This window comes from Homo sapiens, chromosome 12, assembly GCF_000001405.40.
Source record: "Homo sapiens chromosome 12, GRCh38.p14 Primary Assembly".
Lineage (NCBI taxonomy): Eukaryota > Metazoa > Chordata > Mammalia > Primates > Hominidae > Homo > Homo sapiens.
Window position 1 is genome coordinate 119448119 of NC_000012.12, and position 27359 is coordinate 119475477.

The following is a 27359-nucleotide window of genomic DNA, read 5'->3' on the forward strand; positions in this document are numbered from 1 at the left end:
AATACTTTACTGTATACTTGACATTTGCTTAGCAGGTAGATCCTATGTTGTCTTATCACCAAAAAAAAAAAAGGTAACAATGACAGCTGATGGATATATTAATTATCTTGATTGTGGAGATAATGTCACAAGGTATACACATATGAAATCGTCAAGTGGTATATCTTAAATATAAACAAATTTATTTTAAAGAGGCGATGACTCCAGGATTCAGACAGACCGAAATCCAAATCCTGGCATTGCCACCTTCTCATAGTGTGACTTTGGGCAAGTGGCTTCAATCCGTGAGCCTCAGTTTCTCCATCTTTGAAATGATAGTGTCTACCTGTAGGGCTCTTGTAGGAATTACATGATGTAACCCATGTGAGGCTTCAGAGACCTGCCTGACACACAGAGAGTGAGCTAGAAACAGTAACTATCAAGAGCATGATTTTCCAAGCCTGAGCTTTCCCCAGGGCTTTTGCCCTCGAAGATATTTAGCTTCTTCTACACCCCTCTAAGACATAATTTGCTTCTAAATATGATGGGGTAAATAGACAAGAATGGCGGTGGGGAGGGGAGGGGGTCTGGAAGAGGCGCATTAGGTTCCTTAGCAAGGCAGACTTGGCAATATTCTCTTTCCAGTGAGCTTCAGAACTCTTAATAGCAGTTGCCTAGAAACCAGAGCTGTGGTGGGCTTCTGCTGCCTTCCAGAAATCACCCTAATTGGGATGCATATAGAACTGTTTGTTGACACTTGGCAGGTTTTTATCCCTCTTCTTCCAGAAGAAATGCAGTCCTCTTACACAGCGTTACACAAACGCTGACTCACATTAATTAAACAGAAGCCCTGAGCCAAGGCACCTTTTAACCACATAGAAGTCAGGCGGTGGGGATTGCAGCCTGGTCAGCATCCTCTAATCCATTGACCATTTTAGGTTGCTGTCACTGTGTTTCCAAGGTATGGGGTGACTTTTTGGGGGGCAGGCAGGATGCTGTGTGGCCTGAGGGTCTATGTGTATGTGTATGTATATGTGAACAGGTCACAAAAGCTTGCCAAGTCCATGAGATTCTACCGTCAATCAAAGCACAACATGTGCACACTTGTGTAACTTGATATTAAATGCCAGATCTGCCTTCCCTTTGGGGGGTTTAAACACCACTCCTAGTCATGTGGCATAAGGTAGGTCAGAGACTGCATTACAAATGAAAGAAATAACTTTCCTGAGAGGCATGTAGGGAGCTTGTTTCATTTGATCACTTCTTCCAGAACACAGCTATATTCTAGTTCCTAGCTGGAAAAAAATATATATATTTCAAAGGCATCCATTTATCTCTATCCTGTTTGGATCATTCAGCTTCTGCACATATAGTCCTATAACCTGCTCCATCCAAAGAAAATGCGAATGCACCACATCAGTGTAAGAAGGTGCCATTATTACATGCCAAAAAAAAGGCGTGTATTTAATTAGCATTAAATTCAAGAATTTCAAATGGTTTAGTTACTCGTGCAATAGATATTCTTTAAGTAGTCTCTATGTGCTAGTCACTGTGCCAGGTTCTGAGGACGCAGGAAAGACTGAGAAATTGCCCTGCATTTAAGGAGCTCAGTCTAGTGGTGGGTGTGGGAAGGGAGAGTGCATGGCCAGACAGGTCAATCAGCAGGTTCATGGGAGAGACCAGGGGTGTCTAACCTAGCCCAGGAAAAGCAGAAGTAACTTCTGGTGGCGGGGGCGGGCAGGTAAGGCTCATACCTAATCAAGTTCTAAAGGATGAGTTGGGAAGAACTAAAAATAGATCTACCATTCAATCCAGCAATCCCACTACTGGGTATACACCCAAAGAAAAATAAATCATTATTTTAAAAAGATACCTTCACTCATATGTTTATTGCAGCACTATTCCCCATAACAAAGTCAAGGAATCAACCTAGTGTCCATCAACAGATGATTGGACCAAGAAAATGTGGTATACTACTTAGCCATAAAAAAGAATGGAATCATGTCTTTTGCAGCAACATGAATGGAACTGGAGGCCATTATCTTAAGTGAAATAACTCAGAAACAGAAAGTGAATTATTGCGTGTTCTTATTTACATTAAGCTAAACAATGTGCACACATGTACATAGAGAGCAGAATAATGGGCATTGGAGACCAGGAAGGGTGGGAGGGTGGGAGGAGGGCTAGGGATGAGAAATTACTGGGTACAATGTGCATTATTCAGTGATGGCTACATTAAAAGCACAGACTTCATTGATATATATGCAATACACCCATGTAACAAAATGATACTTCTACCCCCTAAATCCATTAAAATTTTTTAAAAATTTTTAAAATAAAGGATGAGTAGAAGTTTGCCAGGTGGAGAAGAGCAGAGCATTCTAGGCAGGACAAGCAAAGGTACTGAGATGAAGAAGTGCATGGCTGTGCAGCAGAATATCTGGTATTGCTAGAGCATCAAGAGGTTAAAGACATGAGAGGCCGGGCGCAGTGGCTCACGCCTGTAATCCCAGCACTTTGGGAGGCCGAGGTGGGCGGATCACAAGGTCAAGAGATGGAGACCATCTTGGGCAACATGGTGAAACCCCACCTCTACTAAAAATACAAAAATTAGCTAGGCTTTGGTGGTGCGTGCCTGTAGTCCCAGCTACTTGGGAGGCTGAAGCAGGAGAATCACTTGAACCCAGGAGGCGGAGGTTGCGGTGAGCTGAGTTCACGCGACTGCACTCCAGCCTGGCGACAGAGCAAGACTCCATCTCAAAAAAAAAAAAAGAGAGAGAGAGAGAGAGATAAGACAAATCCAGCTCTCACAGAGCCCTGCAGCCTGGACTGCAGAGTCTGGAAAGGGTGTGTACTATATAGGGAAGCATCATTGGGAGAAAGAGGTCTGAGGCAGGGAGACCAATTAAGAGGGAGTGGCCCTTGTGCAGGGGAGAGATGATGACAGCTTGATTTTCGAACAAGGCAAACTGAATTGAAAACTTTTGTTACTCAGCCCCATGGTGGGCAGAGTCCTGAAACAAAGCAAGGTCCAGCCAACGTGAAGGGAGGGGAACCACTGAAGGACTTAAAACAGGGATGCATTTTTCCACAAGATGTACATCTGCACCTTTAGGGAGATAATTGGTGCAAGGTGGAAGAGCAAAATCATTTTGGCCATTACATTGCCAAGAGTTTTGAATTCCAAAGCCCCAGCTAAACATATCTGTTTAGCTGTTCAGTTCCTTAAGAGGTGTGTAGGGTGATAGGGGGTTTAGAACAAAGTGCCTTGCACTAGGAATCCAGAGACCCCCACCCAGCCCCACCCCAACCCCTGCACCATTATTGTCCTAGGTCTGCCTGTAATTTGTCATGTGATATGTCGCCTCTCTGGGCCTCAGTTTCCCCATCTGCAAAATGGGGGCTTGGGGCTTTCCCCAAGGGTCTTTTCACTCCAAAATTCTCAGTCTAGCTTCTGATTCAGGTCAGAAAAATAATCCCTAATGCCAAGCCATGGACATCAGGAGTGGAAGTCTCCGGCCCTCAAATGCCATCTAGAATGTAGATTCTTTGGCGGCAAAGTCCAAATCCTCTCAATTTTTGTATCTTTCCTCAGCATGGCACAGCACCTTTTACACAGTCAGTGTCCAATAAAGATATCAGGAAGGAAGGAATTAAATGAATTGCATTCAAAATTAGGCAGAACACATGGAAATGGGATTGGCAAGCAGTGAAGAGATTTAGATTAGATAAATACTTACTGAGAGTACATTTGTGAATCATGAGAAATGTTGCCTGAAGATGTTGGTCCCTAAGTTTAGAGATAGATAAGAATAGAACTGGCCCTCACCAAGAGATCAAATTACCAACATCATCTTTTCTTCTTCACTGAATCAACTAGCCATTTGATCAAAAATAGCATTAGGTCCCCACAATGCGCCAAAGGGATGAGGAGAGGGGTGGAAGAATGAGTATAATATGGTGTCTGCCTCCAAGGAATGTAATTTCTAGAGATTCGTTTAGCCAAAACTCTGAAGCTACTTTGCATAGAGATATAGCTTTTTTGCATCTTAATTTCACTCATCACCTACTCATCTATGGGCGTATCCTACACTGATGAGAGGGCTTGCTTTTCTAATTGTGGCCCTGACAATTAGCAATAATGTGATTAGGTGAAAAGAACCAGTCCTCCCTCTTTATAAAGCAGTTTTGAATATCCAATTTAGAATTGTACTTTCTCTTTGCATGGCATGTTTTAAGACCTTCCAAACTGCTTTTGCATCTATTTTCTGATTTTTTGTCTTTCACAACTACTCAGATAAGACAATATTATCTTGAAGAATGGCTGAGCGAGACAGGCTTAGGCCCGAGAACCAGTCCAGACTCTGCTCCACCCAGACTGGGTACCTTTGCATTGATCAAATCACTGAACCTCTTAGCATTTCAGTTTCCACACAATGAAATGAGGCTAGCAACACTACTGAGGGTTGCCTTGAAGGATTGTTTTCAGAAGTTAAAGAAATCAGTAGCTGCAAAAGCTTTCTCACAGTTACTGGCACACGGTAATGAGTCATATTCTAGTTGTGATGATGGTGGTGGAAATGGCGATAGTGGTGGTGATGGTGGAGATGGTAGTAGTAATAGTTATTCATTCCTAGATAACAGAACAGAGTGGTTCATGAATCTGTCTAAATCCCACAGCAATTTTTTGGTAGAGTTAGAGTTAGAATTTGGCTTGTTTTTTTTTTGTTTGTTTGTTTGTTTTAGATGGACCCTCACTCTGTCACGCAGGCTGGAGTCCAGTGACGTGATCTCGGCTCACTGCCACCTCCACCTCCCTGGTTCAAGCAATTCCCCTGCCTCAACCTCCAGAGTAGCTGGGATTACAGGCACGCACCACCATGCCCAGCTAATTTTATTTTGTATTTTTAGTAGAGACGGGGTTTCACCATGTTGGCCAGACTGGTCTCGAACTCCTGATCTCAGGCAATCTGCCCACCTCAGCCTCCCAAAGTTTTGGGATTACAGGCGTGAGCCACCATACCCAGCCAGAACTTGGCTTTTTAACTGACATTAATGTATATCCCACTTTGGCCTAAACCCTTAGATTTGATTGTAATTTACTGTTATCAGCACTGTCTTCCTGTGAAACATCCTGTGTGTTCACAGGCTGTGATATGGGATCTTCAGATTCTTCTTTCCATTTCTTTATCCTCCCCTCTTCCCTCCTCCTCCTTTTCTTCCATCGTCATTTTCTTTAATGAAGATCTGAGATAGAGATTAAATCAAAGAAGAATTAAGAAAAGAAAACCATTTAAAATAATTAGAAGGCTTCTGCATGTCATTTCCTATCCAGCAAAGCAGAGGTTAATTCCTGGGCCCCTTAGCTTAATACATTTCATTACTTACATGATAACCAAGCATTTTTCCTACCACCACTGGCACAGTGGACTCACAGACCTTTGTGAATTACTTCATAAGGCAATTTACTAAATCCCCAAATAATTGTAATCTAATTAGACTGTTCTTCCCATCACCCCCAGAGAAGAGAACCTCCTAGGCTCACCACTTGAACTAAGTGCCACTTCCCAGAACTCTGTGGGGCTTACAGCCAAACCACCATCCTGGTCATGTGCAAAGCAAGAAAGTTGTACCAGAAGGCATTCATGGTGATGACTACAATGAAGAAGAAGAAGAAAGAAGAATGAGAAAGAGGAGAGGGAAGGGAAGAGGAGCAGGAGGAGAAGGAAGAGGAAGAGGAGGAGGAGGAGAAGGGAAAGGGGAAGAAGGAGGAAGAGAAGTCGATGATAATTTGATGATTGTGATGATGATGATGATGATGATGATGAAAAATAAGAAGAAAAAAATGATAATGTTACCATGTATCGAACAGCTCCAGTGTGCTAGGCACCATACTAATTGCCTCTCATATATGATTTTCAACAATGTCCCAGGATGGCTATTAATGTATCCAAATTTTAAAGGTGAGGAAAGGACATCTCAACGAGGTAAGATGACTCACAGACATTGAGTGATAAGGAAATCATGGCCAGTTAAACCTAGAACAGACCATTTCCAAAACCAGTGTATTTTTCTCATGTAATACTTTGGAATTAGCCTGCCTGTGTTTAAATTCCAGTGCCACCTCTTACTAACCCTATGGTCAGACTATTTGACTTCTTTGAGCCTTAGTTTCCTCATCAGCAAAATGGGGATAATAGTACTTACTTCATAGGATGTTGTGAAAGTTTGATGAGATAATGCATATAAAGTGCTTAGCTCAGTGCCTCACTCAAGCCATCACTATAGAGAGAAACCTCCTGTTTCTCTCTAAGTGCCACCACCCCCTCCTGTCCCAGCCCTCATTTCTTACAGGCTCAGACTCACCTGTTGCCTATTTACCAGCTGCCCTGGACACGCTCAGTGGAGACTCTCCCAGGCCAAATTCTCTTGACAGAGTTTCATGTTTCTAAGTTTCCTTGTTACTACCCAATTATCTAAACCAGCCTCTCCCAATATCCTTTTCTGGTCCATGGCCATTGATTTAGCCAAGGACAATAGCATTTTAAATGTGTGAATTGTGATAGTTTGGTCAAGAAAAAAGAAAGAGGCAGAGAAAGAGATATTGTCTCTTGGAACTGTATTCTGCTGCATGGTAGCAGAGCCCTGAAATCACTATGGCTTAAACAAAATAAAGAATTACCTCCCTCACATAAAAAGGGTTTACATTTGGATGAAGGTGATCTAGTACTGGTATGGCAGCTTCCTGGTCATCCAGTACCTGGGTTCCTTCTAGGTTTTATCCACCATCCTCCGTATTTGCTTCCATCTGCCAGAATTCCTCATGCTCAGAAAATGGCTGCTGGAGCAGCTTCAGGCAACAGAAAGGAACTGAAAAAGGGGCTAACGGGCATATGTTACCCAGCTTGCCAATTTCCTTTAAAGAATTTTCCCAGAAGCCTCTTTAAATGACTTCCACTTGTACCTCATTGGCCTAGCCTATCGGGAAAGGCAGCTGGGAAATATAGTTTTTGTTTGTGGTGGTTGTTGTTTGATTTTGCTTTGCTTTGCTGGTTGTTAATCTAGGCATATTGATGCCCACGATAATGTGGTCTATTACTAAAGAAGCTAGGCAAGTTGATACTTGGTAGGCAACTGGCACTTTCTGTCATTGGGAGCAATAGAGAGAAGTAGGGAAGGAAAACCAAGTGCTGATAGCCTTCTACATGCCAGAGTCTTACTTCAAGGAGCCCACAGACAGTAAGAAAGGCAGACAAGTCAATCAGCAATCACCATGTAGTGTGCTGAGTGTAATAATAGGAAGTACATAGGTACAAGGAGCTGTGGGTGCACTTGACCTAGCCTGGAACTGAGAGGAGAGAAGGGAAGAGGTATTGAATGACCAACAGTTGATAGTTTTACCCAAACCTTGAAGGACAAATAGAAATCAAGCCAAGTGAAGACAATGGAGAAGATGCTGCAGAGAGAAAGAAAAGCATGTGCAGGCGGGTCACAGTGGTTCATGCTTATAATCCTAAATTTTTGGGAGGCCAAGGAAGGAGGATCACTTGAGCTCAGGAGTTTGAGGCTGCAGTGAGCTATGATGGCACCACTGCACTCCAGTATGGACAACAGAGCAAGACTCTGTCTCTGAAAAAGAAAGAAAGAAGGAAAGAAAGAAAAGAAAAGAAAGAAAGAGTGAAAGAAAGAAAAAGAAGAAGAAAAACAGAAGAAGAAGAAAAGGAGGAGGAAGGAGAAGAAGAAGGAAGGAAGGAAGAAAAGAAAAGGGAGGGAAGGAAGGAAGGAAAAGAAAGGAAAGAAAGAAGGAGGGAGGAAGGAAGGAGGAAAGAAAGAAAGAGAAAGAGAGAGAAAGGAAGGAAGGAGGGAGGGGAGGGAGGGAGGGAGAGAGAAAGAGAGAGAGAAAGAGAAAGAAAGAAAGAAAGAAAGAAAGAAAGAAAGAAAGAAAGAAAGAAAGAAAGAAAGAAAGCAAGCAAGCATGTGCAATTTCAAGGGGGTAGAGAGATGCAAAGGAATGGCAGGGTGAATGGTTAGAGATAAATCCCAGATCTTAGAGGACATTGCTAGGAGGAGAAGGAAGGACTCAGGACTTCACCCTGAGAACAGTAGGAAGCCATTAGAGGATTTTGAGCATTAAGATAGGAATGATGAGATTTGCCTTTTCAAAAAAGCCCTGGGGCAGCCAGGTGGCCAATAGGAAGGAAAAGACCTGGTGGGAAACTACCTAAAGTAAATGATGGTTTCTGGCTAGGTTAAGGAAGAGAGTCAACTAATATTCAGAAAATAGAGTTGACATCACTTCATGATCAATTAACTGGATATGAAAGGGGTCAAAAGACACAAGTGTTACAGGACCCCAACACTTCCTGGGGGTTTCTGCACTACAGTCCCTTCATGGTCACTAGAAAGATGTTACATGAAAGGGGTCCCAATCCAGACCCCAAGAGAAGGTTCTTGGATCTTGCACAAGAAAGAATTCAGGGCAAGTCCATAGCATAAAGTGAAAGCAAGTTTATTAATAAAGTAAAGGAATAAAAGTAAAGCCCCAAGGGCTAATGGTTGCCCATTTTTATGGTTATTTCCTGATGATATGCTAAACAAGGGGTGGATTATTGATGCCTCCCCTTTTTAGACCATGTAGGGTAACTTCCTGACATTGCCATGGCATTGGTAAACTGTCATGGCGCTGACAGGAGTGTAGCAGTGAGGACGACCAGAGGTCACTCTTGTCGCCATCTTGGTTTTGGTGAGATTTAGCTGGCTTCTTTACTGCAACCTGTTTTATCCGCAAGGTCTTTATGATCTGTATTTTGTGCCTACCTCCTATCTCATCCAGTGACTTAGAATGCTTTAACTGTCTGGGAATGCAGCCCAGTAGGTCTCAGCATCATTTTACCTAGCCCCATTCAAGATGGAGTTGCTCTGGTTTATACACCTCTGACACAAGCAATCTTTCTGTTCTACATTTGGAACAAACTTGTTTTTGCCACCCTAGAGTGATTTCTAAACAGCACACTTACCCTTAGCCAAAGAAACACCTTAGGTTCTTCCAGCTCAAACGGAAGTCTTCTAGGTGCATGTGTGCACTTTGCTCAGACCCAAGAATTTTGCAAAAGTGCCAGAGAGAATAAAACTGAAGCAACTAAAGGGACTTCTCCTCCACTGAGAGTCAAATTTTCTGAGCCCTTATAAAAGTTCCAGTAGCATCTTTCTTCCATCCAATTTATGATCAAAAAGAACCCATTAACGGGTCTTTCTCTTTGGGCTGAGTCATTCAGAAAGGAGAGAAATCCATCTGAAACTTGATCTGAGAGGTGAAATCCTGACTCAGCAAATTTCCCATTGTTGGGCATTACAATTAGCAAATGACCCAGGGATAGCAAGGAGATGTTTGGATGTGATTTAATAAGAATGTGGTTGCAATAAGCACTCAGAATATGTTTGCAATCAATTTGCTGTATACACAATATGCTACCAGAGCAATCTTTTGTGTACGTAGTTGACCTTTATCTCTGGCAATCTTGTCCTATAAAGAAGAGTGAAATCCTCCATTGCAAATCATTAGCACTCAGGAAATAGCTTTAATTTGCATGCTGACAAAGATATTAACTTGGTGGTTGGCGGGGGGGAGAATAATACAACACATCCTTTTGTCTGAAAGGCAGTTCAAAATCTGTGTTGTGACTACAGTTGACTGAAGTTCAATTACTGTAATAAATGTATTCCAAATTTCATCTCAATTGCATTTGCATTTTAATGAATGATTCTCACCTTCTTGTCAATTTGGCAGCCAGGCTAGATTTATTAAGTTATTGTATAAACAGGGCATTCTAATGCAGGAATTTAAATGCAAAATATTTGCTTGGTGCTTTTGAACTGGGGCTGCGTTATTAATTTGCCTCTATGGGTTGCCTGAAAATTCAAGAACTTAAGGATGGTGTTTCAGATCCCTTCATTCCATCATTTTTGCCCTCTCTTCCTCCGAAATCAATATGTCTGGGTGGGCTGACAGAGCAAGGCCTGAGCCAGCCAGATGAAGTGGGCTCCCCAAGCCTCCAGCCTCAACCAATTGGGAATAAACTGATTTATTTGCTATTATTTGAAAACAGTAAAATTTGTTAAGTGAAAATTTCCCATGTAGGCAATTCCCTTCTGCAAGAGCAGGACATCCCTGAAATCAGATTGCCATGAGTGTTTGTTCATCTTAATGTCATTCTGCCTTTCCCGTCAAAGCACTCCTGGCTTTATAGCCCCATATTTCTTGTAGGTAGAGCTGGAAAATGTAAGTGAAAACCAGCTGGATGTAGAGCCATAATACCATTAAAAGTTTATTTTTATTTTTATTTTTTTTTAAGTACATCTGGGCTCTTAGTTTTTAACACAGTGATTTGTGGTAGTTAATCCCATGCCCCCCATAATAGAAAGGTTGAACATGAGTTTCACTCACTGCCTCCCAAATCTTCAATACTCTGCAATTTCTTGTGAGGTTCCTGAGAAGAGGGCTGGGAAGGTCTGTTTTGGGTGATGTTCAATCCTAGTTTTCTTTAGGGCCCTTGGGAGGGAGGCCGATTCAGGTCATGGGAGATGTATTCAGGCAGAGTGCCCTCAAGATAAGAATGTCCAATAGAGAGATTTGTTTTGTTTTTGTTTTTGTTTTTGTTTTTGTTTTTGAGACAGAATCTCACTCTGTCACCCAGGCTAGAGTGCAATGGCATGATCTCGGCTCACAGTAACCTCCACCTCCTGGGTTCAAGCGATTCTCTTGCCTCAGCCCCCCGAGTAGCTGGAATTAAAGGCACCCACCACCATGCCCAGCTAATTTTTTGTATTTTTAGTAGAGACAGAGTTTCACCATGTTGGTCAGTCTGGTCTCGAATTCCTGACCTCAGGTAATCCACCTCCGTCGGCCGCCCAAAGTGAACCAAAGTGGATTACAGGCGTGAACCACCACACCCGGCCAAGAGATTCTTAGAGAACTTCTGAGATTAACTGATTGCTAGCATGTGGCAGAGTTTTAGTTCAGACTTGCAGGAAGGGGACTAGCCTTCTAGTAAAGCCAACTGGAAGATTTTTTTTCTGGAAAGAGTTCCTTTCAATAGTGGGGAAAAGGTATCCAGACAAGTGCATCTCAAACTTCAATGTGTACATGAATTACCCGAGGATCCTGTTAAAATGCAGATTCAGATTCAAGAGGTCTGGGGTGGGGCCCAAGATTCTGCAATTCTAACCCAAACTGCCTTTGCAAAAATTATGACAGTGAGAAAAATCTGACATAGGAAAATTATGACAATAAAAGAAATTTGACCTAACTGATTCCATCTTGCTTCTAACCTCCAAGATGCCCTTGTTCATTCCTGGGGATGGATCTAGGTAACCATAGTAGGAATTTAGTTTCAAACAAAGATGATTTGGAAAACTAGCAAATTAGCCACAAGATTAGAAATTATGGCTCTGGAGTCATACAGCCAGAGGCCACAAGATTCCTGACCACCCCCATTGCTCCTATAGATAACAACTCTATTGTAAAACCTAAGACAGGTGTTCAAGGTATTTTACAGACCCTGCATTCTGATGGCCCTGCTTGCACTACCCAGACCAGTAAACTGGTTCATCTGGTCTTGTGCCCCCCAACCAGGAACTGACTCAGTGCAAGAAGATAAGCTTCAACTCCCTGTGGTTTCATCTTGGACCCAACCAATTAGCATTCCCCATTCTTAAGCCCCTGCCCACCAAGCTATCATTAAGAAATCCTAGACTCTGAATTTTCAGGGAGGCTGATTTGACTATAATAAATCACTGTGCTGTCCTTCCACTTAGCTGACTGCATTTATACAACTTTTTCTCTATTGCAATAATGCTATCTCAGTAAAGTGGCTTTATCTGTGCAGTGGGTAAGATGAACCCATGGGGCAATTACACAACAAGCTCTCACGTGATGCTGATGCTGCTGGACCACACTTTGATTTGTAAGGAACTAGATAGCATCACCTGAAGTAGGAGTGGTTAGTTAATAGTTAATAGTTAATAGTCTTGTTGTAAGTCTGTCGGGCCAGCACCACGGGTAAATCCAATGCTGCAGAAAAGACTCTTAATCTCACAGAGAATATCAGAAAATTGCTCAGATATTTTATCACAATTGCTAGATACTTCTCAGAAGGAGCTGTTAATTACATCATGCTCCAGGTCCTACTCCAGGCCATCTTTCTTAGGTCTGAGGCAACTTCTTTCTTAATACTATATTTTATCATGTCTAAGAAGCACATTTTTTGCACATTTTATCATCTCTGAACTTGGAATGCAATGTACAATCATGTCTTAATTTAATTGACATGTGTTTTTGTGTTTTCTTCTTTGTGGTTCATAAAATAATGGTGCATTTTACAATGGATGATGCACCAGTCAGCTATTTTCATCATGATGCTGTGTAACAAGCTGCCCCCAAACTCAATGATTTTCAACACATATTTCTTTCTTGCTCCAGCCTTCGCTGAGCTAGGCTAGAATTGCTGGGTTCAGAAAGGTCTGTTCAATGTCTTCTCACTCTTCTGGGTCCGTTGTGGATTTTGTTCACACGGACCCAGCTGAGAAAGCTCATTTTATGTGTTCATTCAATTCATATCTGCTAATATCCCATCGACCAAAGGAGACACATGTCCAAGTCCAAATTCTGGACACTGAGAAAATACATCCCAACCCTGAATGTAGGGGATGGGAGAGGAAGAGAGTATTTGCTCAATAATGACCTAATCTGCCACAGATGGTGCTTTGGATTGGGTAAAAACATGGTCTAAAGGGGGAAAAGGTAAGCCATTTGTTCCTATTCTACAGACCTAGAAATGAAATCTGCAAAACAAACAGCCCAGAGGTACATAAACTCAAAGCCTTAAAGCTTTCTACTGAACATACCTATGCTTGGAGCATGCAAATAGAGAGAGAGAAATTCTGGAATCAACCCTACTGTCTTCCGATCTCTGCTTGGCCACATTCCAGCTGTTATGACCATCATTTACCTAACCTTTTCTCTGTTTTCTCATCTGTAAATCACTCCAACTTCTCAGGACTGTTAAGCAAGCTGACGATAACAACCGCTTCCCATTATGGAGCCCTATGTACTAGGTACTACAGTAAACTCATTATCTTTACTGTCTCATTTAATCCTCCCAATAGCCCTTTGAGGGAGGAACTAATATTTTCCCCATTTGAAGATGAAGGGGTTGTGATTCAGAGAGGTTTAAAACCACCCTAAGGGAATGAAAAAGTAGAGTCCAGCCAGAGGCAATCCCCTCTAACACCTTCCCATCGCCCATACTGCTCCTCAAGTCCAAAGGTGCTTAGAAATGAAACCTAGGCTTCCTTCCTTCTGTCCCTTTGGTCTGTCTTGGCCAAGCCCTGCTGAGAATACTCCTATTGCTGCAGTAAGCATCCTCTCATCAGCTCACACACAGACTCCCATACAGAGAACATACGTTCCTTAATAATAACAACCCACCCTCTCCCATGCACTGGTTGAGAAGAAATTGTATTGCATAGAGAAAACTTTCCATTTTATAATCTGCTTTTTCCTCCTCTTGCCTGATGCAGTTAATTATTTTACTCCCCATCGTTCCTCTTGTGATGTTAGCCAGGGGAGTTTTACATCGCACAAAGCAGTGAGCAGGAGGCCCCAGGTGAGTGGATTTAAAGGCGAAAACTGCTCTTCCCTGCAAATAGCTCCCTTCACACAAATAGCCTGGTAATCAGCAATAATGATGAAGAAAATGTAGGGAACACACGGAATTAAATGAGAATTTGCTAAAATATTAAGCGTTTTTAAATGGGCCTCCGCGGTATCAAGGGAGCACTTCCCAAGCTCGTTGAATGAACATCCTGCAGCCTGAAGTTCCCAGAATAGACTGGTGTGTCTGACATGAAGGCCCAGACCCTCCCCCTAACCACATTCATCTGTCACTCAGGCCTTTCCAGAAGATCTGGCAGCTGGACATCTGACTGCCTTGCCTGAAGAGGGGCTGAAATTCCACCAGAAGATTTGCTTGCTAGGTTTCTCAAATTGTCCAACAGTGACTGCCCTGTCTCTTTCTGTGGAGTTAATTGATAAGACAAGCATTTATCACTCTATTTGTATCTAGGGGTTTGCTACAGACTTGGCTTTTTACCGTATGCTCCCTGTACAGCTCCTTGAAAGAAGTCTCTTCCTATTTGCAGCACCAGGAACAGCCCAGCATCTCCTAAACAGCTTTTTAAAAATCTTCAGCCATTAGGAATCACATTAGGATTGTGTTTACCTCTTTGCCTCAGCCACTAGGATGCTCAGGGCCAAATTTATGCACCAGATTATGTGGCATGGGTTTTGTTACCTGTCTTACCTGATTTTGGTTTTCTTGTTTTTTTCTGCCTTCTGCCTGTCTCACTTTAAAAAAAATTTTCTTGTTTCTAATTCTTTTTAGAATGAGAGCATGAATAAGTTGAAAAAAATCTCTTACCAACTTGTTAATTACTACAAAAAGGTAAATGACCGAGATGCAGAGGTAAAGACTGAGAATTTTTTTAGAGACAGGATTTCACTGTCACCCATGCTGGAATGCAATGGCATGGTCATAGCTTACTGCATCCTCAAACTCCTGGCTTAAGTGATCCTCCTGCCTCAGCCTTTCAAGTAGCTGGGACCATTGGCATATGCTACCATGCCCAACTAACTTCATTTATTTATTTATTTATTTATTTATTTATTTATTTATTTATTTATTTTTGAGACAGAGTCTTGCTCTCTCGCCCAGGCTGTAGTGCAGTGATGCGATGTCAGCTCTCTACAACCTCCGCCTCCCAGGTTCAAGTGATTCTTGTGCCTCAGCCTCCTGAGTAGCTGGTACTACAGGCGCTTGCCACCACGCCCAGCTAATATTTGTATTTTTCGTAGAGACAGGGTTTCGCCATGTTGGCCAGGCTGGTCTCGAACTCCTGACCTCAAGTGATCCACCCGCCTTGGCCTCCCAAAGTGCTGGGATTACAAGCATGAGCTGCCACGCCTAGCCTCAGTGCCTGTTCTGTTCTCTGCCCCTACAGACCACAGTCTGTCTCAGGATCCAACAGGTCACTCTGACAGCCTTCCAATCCATGAGAGAATCTGGACAACAGCAAATCCCTGGCACCTACCAGTCAGTGATAAACCACCCAAGTTAGTCCTTGACCCAGTGGCTCATGGAAACTTCAAGATCAAGGCCCATGCTGGTGGGACTTCCGAAAGGACAGAGTGACCAGCCACATCCAGAAACATCCTGACCATCTACCAACCAGCGCAGTGCACAGCTGAGCTCTACAGTGAACTCACCACTTGGGTTCAGACCTCAGCTCTGCTTCTTTCCAGCTCTGTGACCTTGTCTTTCCTGACCACAGTTTCCTTATCTTCAAATGGAAGTGATAATAATAGCACCTAAAACACAGAGTCATTGTGAGGACAAATACATTAACACACGTGCCCAAGAATGGAAAGATCAGGAGAGTGAGGCACAAAACTGCTGGTAAGAAGCACTAAGGTCTACCGCAGACGCGAAATCCCAACAGTGCCGAGTTCACCTTAAAAAGGGCTCTTATGTGAATGCTTTGCAGCATCTCAAGTGTACACTGGAAACACTTGAGAAGTCTCATTGAAGTCCAGTGGCAGAGAGGGACCTCTACAGCTCTGTTCTTATGGCCCTGCACATGAAGATGTTAGACTGAGTTATTAGAAATGAGCTTCTTAATTCAAATGGTAAAGTCTATGGCCTCCTGGAGTAGGACCCTGGAGTAAAGGAGTCGAGAGGCAGGTGCCCAGACCATCACTGTTACCTGGTTCTCCCTACCTTTCCAGCTTAGGACACACAGCCCACCCTTCCTTCTTTCCTCTCTTCCTTTCTTTTTTCCTCTCTCCCTTCCTTACTTCCTCTTTCCTTCCTTCTTCCTTTTTTCTTCCCTCCCTCCCATTTTCCCTTCCTTCCTCTGCGCCTGGCCCAGAGATTTATTTAATTCGTAATTGGTTAAAGGAGCAAGAACTTTATTCAAACACTTGGAATCAGCAGAAAGGAAAGCTGAAGTTCCTGGGGGTTGGACTTCAATGTATGAATTTGGGGAGGACACAACTGAATCCATAGCACACACATTTCAGGATCCAGTAGGTTGCAGTTTCTGCACATCATCACGTAATATTTTGCCAGAGTTGGGTTGCAAGAGCAACCCCCCCCCCACTCTTCCTTACTTCCTCTTTCCTTCCTTCTTCCTTTTTTCTTCCCTCCCTCCCATTTTCCCTTCCTTCCTCCTTCCTTCCCTCCCCTTTCCTCTTCCTCCCTCCCTCCCTTCCATCTTTCCTTTCTTCTTTTTCCAGAGAAGAACCTTTCTGTCAAACAAAAGTCTTAAGTAGAACACTGTAAACTAAAAATAAAATCCTAAGCCCCCTCCAACCAGCTGAATAGACCCTCTCTTGGCCAAGGGAACCCCCGAAAAACCTTAAAAACTGACTTCTTGGCCATGACAAGATGGGAGGTCAGACACACCTCATTGTACTCCGTCCCTTTTGGAAATTAGCCACAAGAGCTGCCCACCATTAATGTTAAAATAGAGATCAGAAGACTGATGAAACTGACTGACAGTAAGATACCAAATTATAAACAGGACCTAAAGCTACACTGGACAAGGATTAAGTCATGCAGAACTACAGGTCACTCCGATCCAATGTATTATGTCTTGCTCTTGCAACCCAACTCTGGCAAAATATTACATGATGATGTGCAGAAACTGCAGCCTACTGGATCCTGAAATGTGTGTGTTATGGATTCAATTGTGTCCTCCCCAAATTCATACATTGAAGTCCAACCCCCAGGAACTTCAACTTTCCTTTCTGCTGATTCCAAGTGTTTGAATAAAGTTCTTGCTCCTTTAACCAATTACGAATTAAATAAATCTCTGGGCCAGGCGCGGTGGCTCATGCCTGTAATCCCAGCACTTTGGGAGGCCGAGGCGGGTGGATCACGAGGTCAGGAGATCGAGACCATCCTGGCTAACATGGTGAAACCCCGTCTCTACTAAAAATACAAAAACAATTAGCCAGGCCTGGTGGCGGGCGCCTGTAGTCCCAGCTAGTCAGGAGGCTGAGGCGGGAGAATGGCGTGGAACCCGGGAGGCGGAGGTTGCAGTGAGCCGAGATCGCACCACTGCACTCCAGCCTGGGTGACAGAGTGAGACTCCATCTCAAAAAAATAAAAATAAAAAAATAAATCTCTGAACCCACCTATGACCTATAAGCCTCAGCTTCCAGGTATCCCACCTTTTTTTGGGTGAAACCAATGTAAAGCCTCTATGTATTGATTTATGACTTTGACTGTAACTTCTACTTCTCTAAAATGTATAAAGCAGACCGGGCGAGGTGGTTCACACCTGTAATCCCAGCACTCTGGGAGGCCGAGGCAGGTGGATCACCTCAGGTCAGAAGTTCAAGACCAGCCTTGATAACATGGTGAAACCCCGTCTCTACTAAAAATATAAAAACTAGCCAGGCGTGATGGTGGGCACCTGTAATCCCAGCTACTCAGGAGGCTGAGGCAGGAGAATTGCTTGAACCCAGGAGATGGAGGTTAGTGTGAGCTGACACGGTGCCACTGCACTCCAGCCTCAGTGACAGAGTGAGACTTCATCTCAAAAAAAAAAAAATGTATAAAACAGAGCTGCATTCTGACTGCCTCTGGGCCACTTACTCAAGGCTCCTTGGGCTTGTGTTTTCTCCAGACCATGGCCACTCATACTGGCATAAACCTCTTTGGAATATTTTACAGAGTTTGGTTTTATTTCCATCAACAACACCAATTTCTAAAACGTGCAAAGCCAACATTTTGGTAGCACACATCGTATTATATGATGTCATATAACATTTTATTCAATGGAAACGAAACTTTTCTTAGTTTAAAATCGTACTTGCTCAGAGCCTTTGCACATGTTGTTCCTGCTACTGGAATACTCTTCCCCCAACAAGTATCTGCATGGTTTACTCCCTTACCTCCTTCACATCTTTCTGCAAACATCACCTTCTGAGTGAGGGTTTCACTGACCATCTTTTTCTAAATGCACTGACACCCCTCATCCCTGGCATCTCGTCCCACTTGCCTGCTCTGTTCCTCCATAGCAGTTGGCACTTTGGGTACCATTTACTTCTTAGTTTTGAATCTGTCTCCACCCTCTGGAATACGAGCTTCATAAGGGCCAGAACTCTACAGCTATTTTGTTTACTGCTGCATCCTCAACACATAGTGCTTTGTACGTAATAAGCATTCACCAAATATTTGTTGAACATTTTCATTGAACGGTTGATAATGGTGCAGTTATTTAGGCAAACACACAAATTGGAAATTGGGATTAATCCGTGTAATAAAGAATCTGACTCCATTCTTGATATTTGACTACTGATGGATTTCAAGCTCCAACACTCCATCCTCACCCACCACACCATTCCCTTCTGCCCTATATCTGGGCAAGTTGATAAGAAAGCCCAGGTGCACCCTCCTTTGATGCTGGTGGGAAGTTCAAATCATCTCCAAATGTGGAACCACTACCTCACCCCCTAACCACCATAAAACCCCAAGCCACTGGTCCCTTCCTGCTCTTTCAGGCAGTTTGAAGACCTGCTTGGGAGACTTCCCTGCTCTCCCCAGAAAATCTAGTTATGTGAGTAATAACCCATTTCATATTCTCTTGGTGTGTGCATTGTGTTGAGGTAGGAGGTGGGACTTAACACCAGAGGTGGGCCTTGGACACCAGACCAAAGTGAGAACTAGCTAAAACAGGGACAGGGAAGAAGCACCTTTCCATAAGATATGTCCATCAGTTTACCATTGCCATGGCAACACTCTGGGAGTTACTGCCCCTTTCTATGGCAATGACACAATGACCCAAAAGTTACCACCTTTTCCCTAGAAATTTCTGCATAAACTACCGCTTATTCTACATGTAATTAAAAGTGGGTATAAATATGACTGCAAAACTGCCCTGAGCTGCTGCTCTCAGCACACTGCCTGTGGGGTGGCCCTGCTCTGCAGGTGCAGTCATGGAGCAGTAACACCGCCTCTTCAATAAAGCTGTTTTCTTCTACCACCAGCTCACCCTTGATTCTTTCCTGGGTGAAGCCAAGCACCCTCCTAGGCTAAGCCCCAATTTTGGGCATGCCTGCCCTGCATCAGTATCAGTCTTGACTTCTGAACAAATTTTCAGTGAAGGGTCTGTTACAGATTGAATGTTTGTGTCCCCCCACCAAATTCATATGTTGAAATCCTTACCCACCTCCCAATATGATATTAGGAGTTGAGGCCTTTGGGAGGTGATTAGCCTCCACCTTTGTGAATGCGATTAGTGCCCCTATAAAAGAGACTCTGGAGAGCTCTCTAGCTCTCTTCCCTCCATGTGAGGCTTCAGTGAGAAAATGGCAGTCTCCAACCTGGAAGAGGGACCTCACCAGAACCCAACCATGCTGGCACCCTGATCTTGGGCTTCCAGCCTCCAGAACTGTGAGAAAGAAGTTTCTGTTGTTTAAGCCACCCAGTCTATGGTATTTTTGTAACAGCAGCCAAAGCAGACTGAAACAGAGTCCACCCCATCTCTGTAAAGTGGCATGACAATGAAAAGCAGTTGCTGTCACATCAGTCTCACCTCCCAGGTTATTTCTGCATTTGCTTTGTTTGTGCTACACAGAGAAAAATCCTCATGTGTGAAGTTAAGAGGTTGCAAACGCTAACGGTTTTCTTTTTATCAAGTTCCCTTGCAGCTTCAGGACTCTCACCAATTCAGAAGCTTGAAAGCAAAATGGAAGCATATTTTTGTTTCAAACATGAATTCCACCTCATATTCACTGCTCACATTCCTAAACTTAAATATAAAAGCCAGGCAGCCAGGCACGGTGGCTCATGCCTGTAATCCCAGCACTTTGGGAGGCCGAGGTGGGTGGGTCATAAGATCAGGAGTTCAAGACCAGCCTGGCCAATATAGTGAAACCTCGTCTCTACTAAAAATAAAAATAAAATAAATAAATAAATAAATTAGCCGGGCATGGTGGCACATGCCTGTAATCCCAGCTACGCAGGAGGCTGAGGCAGGAGAATTGCTTGAACCCAAGAGGTGGGGGTTGCAGTGAGCCGAGATCGCACCACTACACTCCAGCCTGGGCGATAGAGCAAGACGCTGTCTTAAAAAATAAAAATTTTTTAAAAAAAAGCCAGGCAAAAGCACCTATAACTGACAATATGGCATTACTAAGTGATAACAGGTTACCCACTCATTTGCTTTTGCACAATTTTATACATAAGAAAACTGAGAGATTATTTTGCAATGACAAGAACATGAGCTGAGCAGATATGACTGATCCTTGCCTGCAACTGACTGTCTGGGATGGATATATGACATGTGGCATAAACATCCAAAAAATTTTACATGAGCTGAGAAGCAGGATTTAAATTTAGAAAACATTCAGTGGTAATCTTCCAGGAGCACATTCATAAAGAGCAAAAATACAGCATTTTATTGAGTCTAAACCACCATCAAATCTAAGATATGCCACTAAAAAGAAAAACTAAACAATGAAAAGAATTTTATTTAAAAAATTTAACATAACAAAATAAAAACACTGTCAATTAAAATAAGATGGTTCTTTCTTATCACTTAGAATTTTTATTTTGTAAAAATATTTTAGGCCAGGTGCAGTGGCTCATGCTTGTAATCCCAGCATTTTGGGAGGCTGAGGCAAGAGGATCACTTGAGGCCAGGAATGTGAGACCAGCTTGGGCAACACAGTGAGACCCCCATCTCTACAAAAATTAAAATTTTTTTAAAAATTAAAAAATATATATATTATTTCCTAATTTTTAAGAAAAGCTCCTTTTTTACCTACTTAAATAATTTTTTAATATTCCATTTATATCTATATATTCTGTTCAAACCAAAAGGAAAACACAGGTAAAATACATTGGTTAAGGTATTCCTCAAACTTCTTCACATTCAAAGCCCAACTCTTCAGAATCACTCTTCCACTCAGAGTCAACAATGTCCTGTGGAACATTTCTTAAGAGGATGCTCCTCTGTTGTCTCCAAGATTTCTTCCCAGCTGCAGACCCAAGTCTGAAAGTTTTTATAATGGCACTTTCTTGCTTTTCAAAAAATTTTTTGAGATGGAGTCTCACTCTGTCACTCAGGCTGGAGTGCAGTGGCGTGATCTCAGCTAACTGCAACCTCCGCCTCCTTGCAAACTCCGCCTCCCGGGTTCCAGTGATTCTCCCTCAGCCTCCCGAGTAGCTGGGATTAGAGGCACCCGCCACCACCCTGGCTAATTTTTGTATTTTCAGTAGAAATGGGGTTTCATCATGTTGGCCAGGCTGGTCTCAAACTCCTGACCTCAAGTGATCCACCCGCCCCGGCCTCCCAAAGTGCTGAGATTATAGGCATGAACAACCACACCAAGCCTACTTCCTTGATTTTATAAGAATATGTCAAAGAAAAAGACTTTTCAGACTTCAAACTCCTGGTCCAGTGATTTATTGCCCAGCGGGGGCAATTGTGCAGTCAGGCTACCAGGAGTAACAACCAAATTTAAACCTATAGAGGCCACAACAACTGCAAAGCAACTGCCACGTAGCTGGCAGTGATTGTGAATGGCCAATGATTGTAAGATGCAGTTTCACGTCAAGGAAGTTGAGATGCGAAAAAATGGGCCTTTCAGAATTAGTGAACACAGGCCGATGCAATAGAAATGTACAAAATGAATTGATCTAGCATATAACAGAATGTTTTGTGTTGTGGGTGTTGTTAATAGCTTTAATAGCTGTTAATGAAAACTCAGACATTTGCAGATTCCTGAAGCATTTTTACGTACAGTCCAAGCAATTCCCAAATCCAGGCTCACTTAAGAACCCAAGGCCCTGCGCCATGTTTCCTGCCTGCATTGTCAGCTTTAGCTCTAGCCACTCTTCTGTGCTCCAGTGTTTTAAAGATAGTTATAGTTCCCTAAAGAGGCCATCATCAGACTCACCTTTTTGCATTTACACCTGATATTCCATCCACTGGTATGCCATGTCCCACTTTGTTCTACTGGTGAATTCCTACTTAGCCTAAATACTACCTCCTCCAGAAAGCCTTCCAAGATTTCTCTAGGTTCCTATAGCCCTTTGGTACATTAGGTTGAGAGTATCTGTTTGTGGGTGTTCTTCCTCCATGACACTGTGAACTCCTTGGGGGGTAAATGTTTTATCTTATTGCTTTGTGCAGCCCCAGTCCCCTGAACTGGTCCCTGGAATAGCAGGTTCTCAGCCAAGGTCAGCCAGAGGAATGAATGAATGAAATGTTATCACTTAGCTGCCACCCATGTGATGTGATTTGAAAAATGCTGGAAAATCCCGACCTCCCGCCTCCCAGCATATTCCCAATGGACATTTGTAAGAGTCCCCCGATGAAATGAAATGACCTTCATAACACCTTAGCTCGTCTTAGCAAATAAGCAGGGGTCAACTAATCATATGAGTCTGGCCATGGCAGCTGGCTGGGAATATTCCCATGCAAAACCGAGCACAAGAGAGACATGAGAGGAGAGGAAGAGGCCACCTTCAAACAGGGAAAGAAAATCCTACTTTCTCCAGGAAGAGGTCTTCAGCCTCCCCCTAGTCTCAATTAGGTGCCCCCTTCCCCAAAGCCCAGAGTCCTGCCTCTCCCATTACCCTGTGCTATTATTGACATCATGTATCTCTCTCTCCCTCTCTCCTACTGAACCATGAACCCTGAGGGACCCAATGTCTTGTTCATCACTGTATCCCCAACAGTCAGTACAATACCCAACACACATTGCTTGCTTACTAGGAATTTGGAGAACAAATAAAATTGATGGTTGCTTATTAGGAATTTGGAGAACAAATAAAACTGAATTTGAGAACCAACATTTACATCTAGGAACAAAGTGGGCAGACAGAAAGAAACATGTAGACACCTCTGCATCACTCCTTCTCCACCACAGGGCTGCTAACTCCAACCCCAAGGTGAAGACTGGCAAAGCGCAGGGAGGTGTGTAGCCCATCACGACTGAGAATGTCTTCACATCAAGCCAGCATCAAGACATCTGATTAGGAAATAGTGGTTGAGTTGGCATGAAAAGAATTATGAGGTCCCAACATATGTTATTTGACACAGCAAGAACCCACACATTAGTACTTGAACTTCTGTAGCAGTCATGCTGACAGATGTGAGCATTTAGGCAAATCAAAGAGAGGGCAGCCTTAGCCAGGAGCCTAGGCCCTTTAGTGCCTGCTATGCCATTGATTTTCATGGAAGAGCCCATCTTCTGTGCCAAGCACTTCACTGCTGACCCCTTCCCATGCATGATGGTATCTGATCCTGCAGGCTGTGAATTGTTATGTTCATTCCACAGCACCTAGCAGACTGCCTGGTGCTGTAAGTGGGCACTCCATAAACATTTGTTGAGTGATGGGATGATGAAGGAAATGAGGCTCAGAGAGATTCAAGGACTTGGCCAAGGTCTTTAGTACAAGGTGGATCCAGAATTCAAACTCAGGTCTGGCTGAGTCTGGAAATCTACAGGTGGGAAGGCTCCTGCCCTGCAGGCACGAGGGCACGCTCAGAGATTATTGGTCCCAAGACAATAAGAGTCAACTCATCTTTTTTTTAAATTTGTGTCTCCCTCTCCTCCCTCCCTCTCTCTCTCTCTCTTTCCTTCCTTCCCTCTCCCTCTCTCACTCTCTTTCTCTATTTCTACCTGTTTCTTTCTCTCTATCCCTCTTTATCTCTCTTTTCTCTTTCCTCTCTCTCTTTCTTTCTCTCCTTCTCTTTCCTTCTCTCTCTCCACCCTCCCACCTTCCTCCCTCTCTCCCTCTTCCTCCCTGCATGTCTCCAGCTTTTTGATCCAGTCTGTGAAGATAGGCCGTGGATATTTTGCTATTCTGAGGGAAGAGACTGCAAAGAAAAAGAAGCAACAACAACTTCAGAAACTGAAAGAGGAGGAAAGAAATAAATTCCAGCCAGCCGAAAAGATCTCAGAAATCCACTATGGGGACACCTTATTGAGGTAAGTGGATGCAGTAGCTGTGGCACTGAAGGTTTTGGGAATGACCATTGAGAGTGAACCCTGCCTGGTAAGGTCAAGCGAGGGCAGCTATCTCAGAGCACGTGCCCCTTCTCAGCCTGGCATCTAACACCTTCTTTAGTGTGGTCCAACCAACCTTGATAGCCTCGCTTTCTGGTATTCGCTGGAACATCTTCCACTTATCACTAACCACCCAGCTTAAATGCTGCTCTCTCCGAATACTTCCTGGATTTCAGTCCAACCACCTCCTGCACCCATTTGCACTCCAGGTCCCCATAATACGTGTTTATATGCTAGTTTTAGTCCACATCAGTATCTCTGTTCCATACCTTCAGTGGCAGCCCCAGGGCCTGGCTCATTGTCCACAGAAACCAGGTGCATAAAAAATGCCTCCTTTTTTTTTTTTTTTTTTTTTTGATATGGAATCTCGCTCTGTTGCCCAGGCTGGAGTGCAGCGGCGTGATCTTGGCTCACTGCAACCTCTGCCTCCCAGGTTCAAGCGATTCTCCTGCCTCAGCCTCCCAAGTAGCTGGGATTACAGGTGCCCACCACCACGCCTGGCTAATTTTTTTGTATTTTTAATAGAGACGGGGTTTCACTGTGTTGGCCAGGCTGGTCTCGAACTGCTGACCTTGTGGTCTGCCCGCCTGAGCTTCCCAAAGTGCTGGGATTACAAGTGTGAGCCACCACGCCCGGCCTCCTTTTTTTGTAAAGGACTTTCCCCTGGTTGGAAAAGGACTATCAATAGACTGGTCCATTATGAAATGCCCATGCATATAATAATAGTAATAACCAAAATAACAATAAAAACAGATGATGATGTTTACTGTGTGCTTAATGCACACCTATTCGGCTAAATTTCAAAACATTCCTGAGATAGGTGCTATCATTGGCCCCATTTTAGAGATGGAGAAATGAGGCTTAGAAGTTAACTAATCTCCCCCAAGGTCAGTAGTTAGAAAGCAGCTCTGAGTCCCAAACTTAGTGGCACCAAAATCCATCGACTGCACCATTTGGCGTGGACAAAATCCTGGGATACTTTGAGCTTGTGCAGACTGAATGAGGCACAAACCAAGGATGGAAAGGAAGTGCCAAGGCAGCCAGGGAGGAAATGCAGGGTAGAAAAATGGCCTGCAGCTGTAGCCACTCTCCTGTGAGCGCAGCTGTTGCAACCCTAGCTACATATTAGAATCATCTGGCAAGTTTTTAAAAACACCACTGTCCAGGTCAGTTACATTAGGCTCTCTAATATACATTAGCTGTTCATAGATTAATTTTTTTTTATTTCAATAGTTTTTGGGGAACAGGTGGTGTTTGGTTACATGAATAAGTTCTCCAGTGGTGATTTCTGAGATTATGGTGCACCCATCACCCAAGCAGTGTGCACTGTACCCAATGTGCAGTCTTTTATCCCTCACCCTCCTCCCACCCTTCCCCCAGGAGTCCCCAGAGTCCATTATATCATTCTTTTGCCTTTGCATCCTCATAGCTTAGCTCCCACTTATGAATGAGAATATACGATGTTTGGTTTTCCATTCCTGAGTTACTTTACTTAGAATAATGGTCTCCAACTCCATCCAGATTGCTGAAAATGCCATTATTTTGTTTCTTTTTATGGCTGAGCAGTATTCCATGGTGTATATATATATGTATATACATACCACCTTTTCTTTATCCACTCATTGATTGATGGGCATTTGGACTAGTTCTATATTTTTGCAATTGTGAATTGTGCTGCTATAAACATGCATGTGCAAGTGTCTTTTTCAGACAATGACTTCTTTTCCTCTGAGTAGATACTGAGTAGTGGGATTGCTGGATCAAATGGTAGTTCTACTTTTAGTTCTTTAAGGAAACTCCATACTGTTTTCCACAGTGGTTGTACTAGTTTACATTCCCGAAAAAAAGTGCTCAACATCGCTAATTATCAGGGAAATGCAAATCAAAACCACAACGCAATACCACCTTACTCCTGCAAAGAACGGCCATAATATAAAAAGGAATAGGTGTTGGCTTGGATATTCATAGAATTTTTTTAAGTTCCCCTAAGCGAATCCAGTGTGAAGCCACAGTTGAGAGCCGTTAGGCTAAGGCTGCCTTCAGGAATCCAAACTGCCAGGTCATTTGCCAAAAATGAAATGGAAGCCACGACAGATACCCACTTTCCTCTGCACCATTTCCCAAATTCTGTTCTTGAGAATGTTAATTTACAGAATGTGAATATGTGCTTCTTATAAACAAGGGTCCTGTCAATGGAATCATATATTATGTGACTCTTCTGTGTCTGGCTTCTTTCACTTATAGTGCATTTGAAGTTCATCCTAAACAGAGAGCAGATTGTTGGTTGCCAGATGCTGGGGGCAGGGGAAATGGGAAGTGACCACATGGGTCTGGAGTCCCCTTTTGGGAGTGATGAAAATGTTTTGTACCAAGAGGTTATGGTTGTACAACATGGTGCAATGTACTAAATACCACTACATTCTACTCTTTAAAACAGTTAATTTTATGTTCTGTGACTTTCACCTTAATAAATTTTTCTTCAGGCCAGGCGTGGTGGCTCACACCTGTAATCCCAGCACTTAGGGAGGCTGAGGCAGGAAGATCACTTGAGCCCAGGAGTTCAAGACCAGCTTGGGCAACATAGAGAGACTCCATCTCTCTTTAAGGAAAAAAAAGAAAAATATATACAATTTTTTCAAGTAGAACAAGGGTTCTTGTCTATGAGGCCTGGGGTATTGAGTCAGAGGAGAACAGGACCTCTTTAAAGCCCAGGGTTCCAGGTGATGGATGAGAACCCAGACTGCAAGACCTCATGGAGCTGGTATATTTCCAGTCACCTCCCCCAGAATCATGGCTGTTGGGATCCCAGAATATTGTGGAAAGGGTCTCTTCTTTGACTCCTCATTGGTGTAGACCCTGGGATCAGCACAAATTGTGCCTACCTGACCAAACTCAATGGCACCCATAGATTCTGATACTCCTAGTGACAGACTGGCAGCCTTTCCCTGGAATAAAGAGAAGGCATGAACTCATGGCTCTTTTTTCAGGAGCTATGCTCAGATTGACAGGCAAACCCAAAAAGCACTGGGGAAAGATGGTGTCTATGAAAGACACTCCTGTACCTGTTTAAATGGCTTGGGTGTCTTGTTCCACTTGTTTGGATGGAGTTTCTCATCCATGGTCGTAGAACGCAATTCTCCCCTCTCCAATCCATGTTTCAGTGTGTGAGAAATGATTTATTTAAAGTTTAATAAGTTTAAATATGCATGAGATCGCTCCTCTTGTAGACTTTGGT

The 27359-nt window shown here is 43.3% G+C and overlaps 1 protein-coding gene and 1 long non-coding RNA gene across 9 annotated transcripts in view, besides 1 other annotated feature; one reads left to right on the forward strand and one right to left on the reverse strand.

The window, feature by feature from the left end:
* Positions 1-27359, forward strand: part of CCDC60 (coiled-coil domain containing 60) — a 206312-nt gene that overhangs the window by 113390 nt on the left and 65563 nt on the right. For all 5 annotated transcript variants that reach the window (NM_178499.5, XM_017018912.3, XM_017018913.3 and 2 more), the window contains exon 3: positions 23876-24046. In NM_178499.5, coding sequence (NP_848594.2) covers positions 23876-24046 — 171 coding nt within the window. The remainder of the gene's footprint in view (positions 1-23875; positions 24047-27359) is intronic.
* Positions 1-27359, reverse strand: part of PRKAB1-AS1 (PRKAB1, TMEM233 and CCDC60 antisense RNA 1) — a 280141-nt gene that overhangs the window by 60132 nt on the left and 192650 nt on the right. The window lies entirely within an intron of this gene.
* Positions 15273-15473: a silencer, noted in NCBI's record as "peak2000 fragment used in MPRA reporter construct". NCBI's record gives its function as "represses an SCP1 promoter by STARR-seq MPRAs in K562 erythroleukemia cells {active_cell/tissue: K562}" and the evidence as "EXISTENCE:reporter gene assay evidence [ECO:0000049][PMID:32103011]".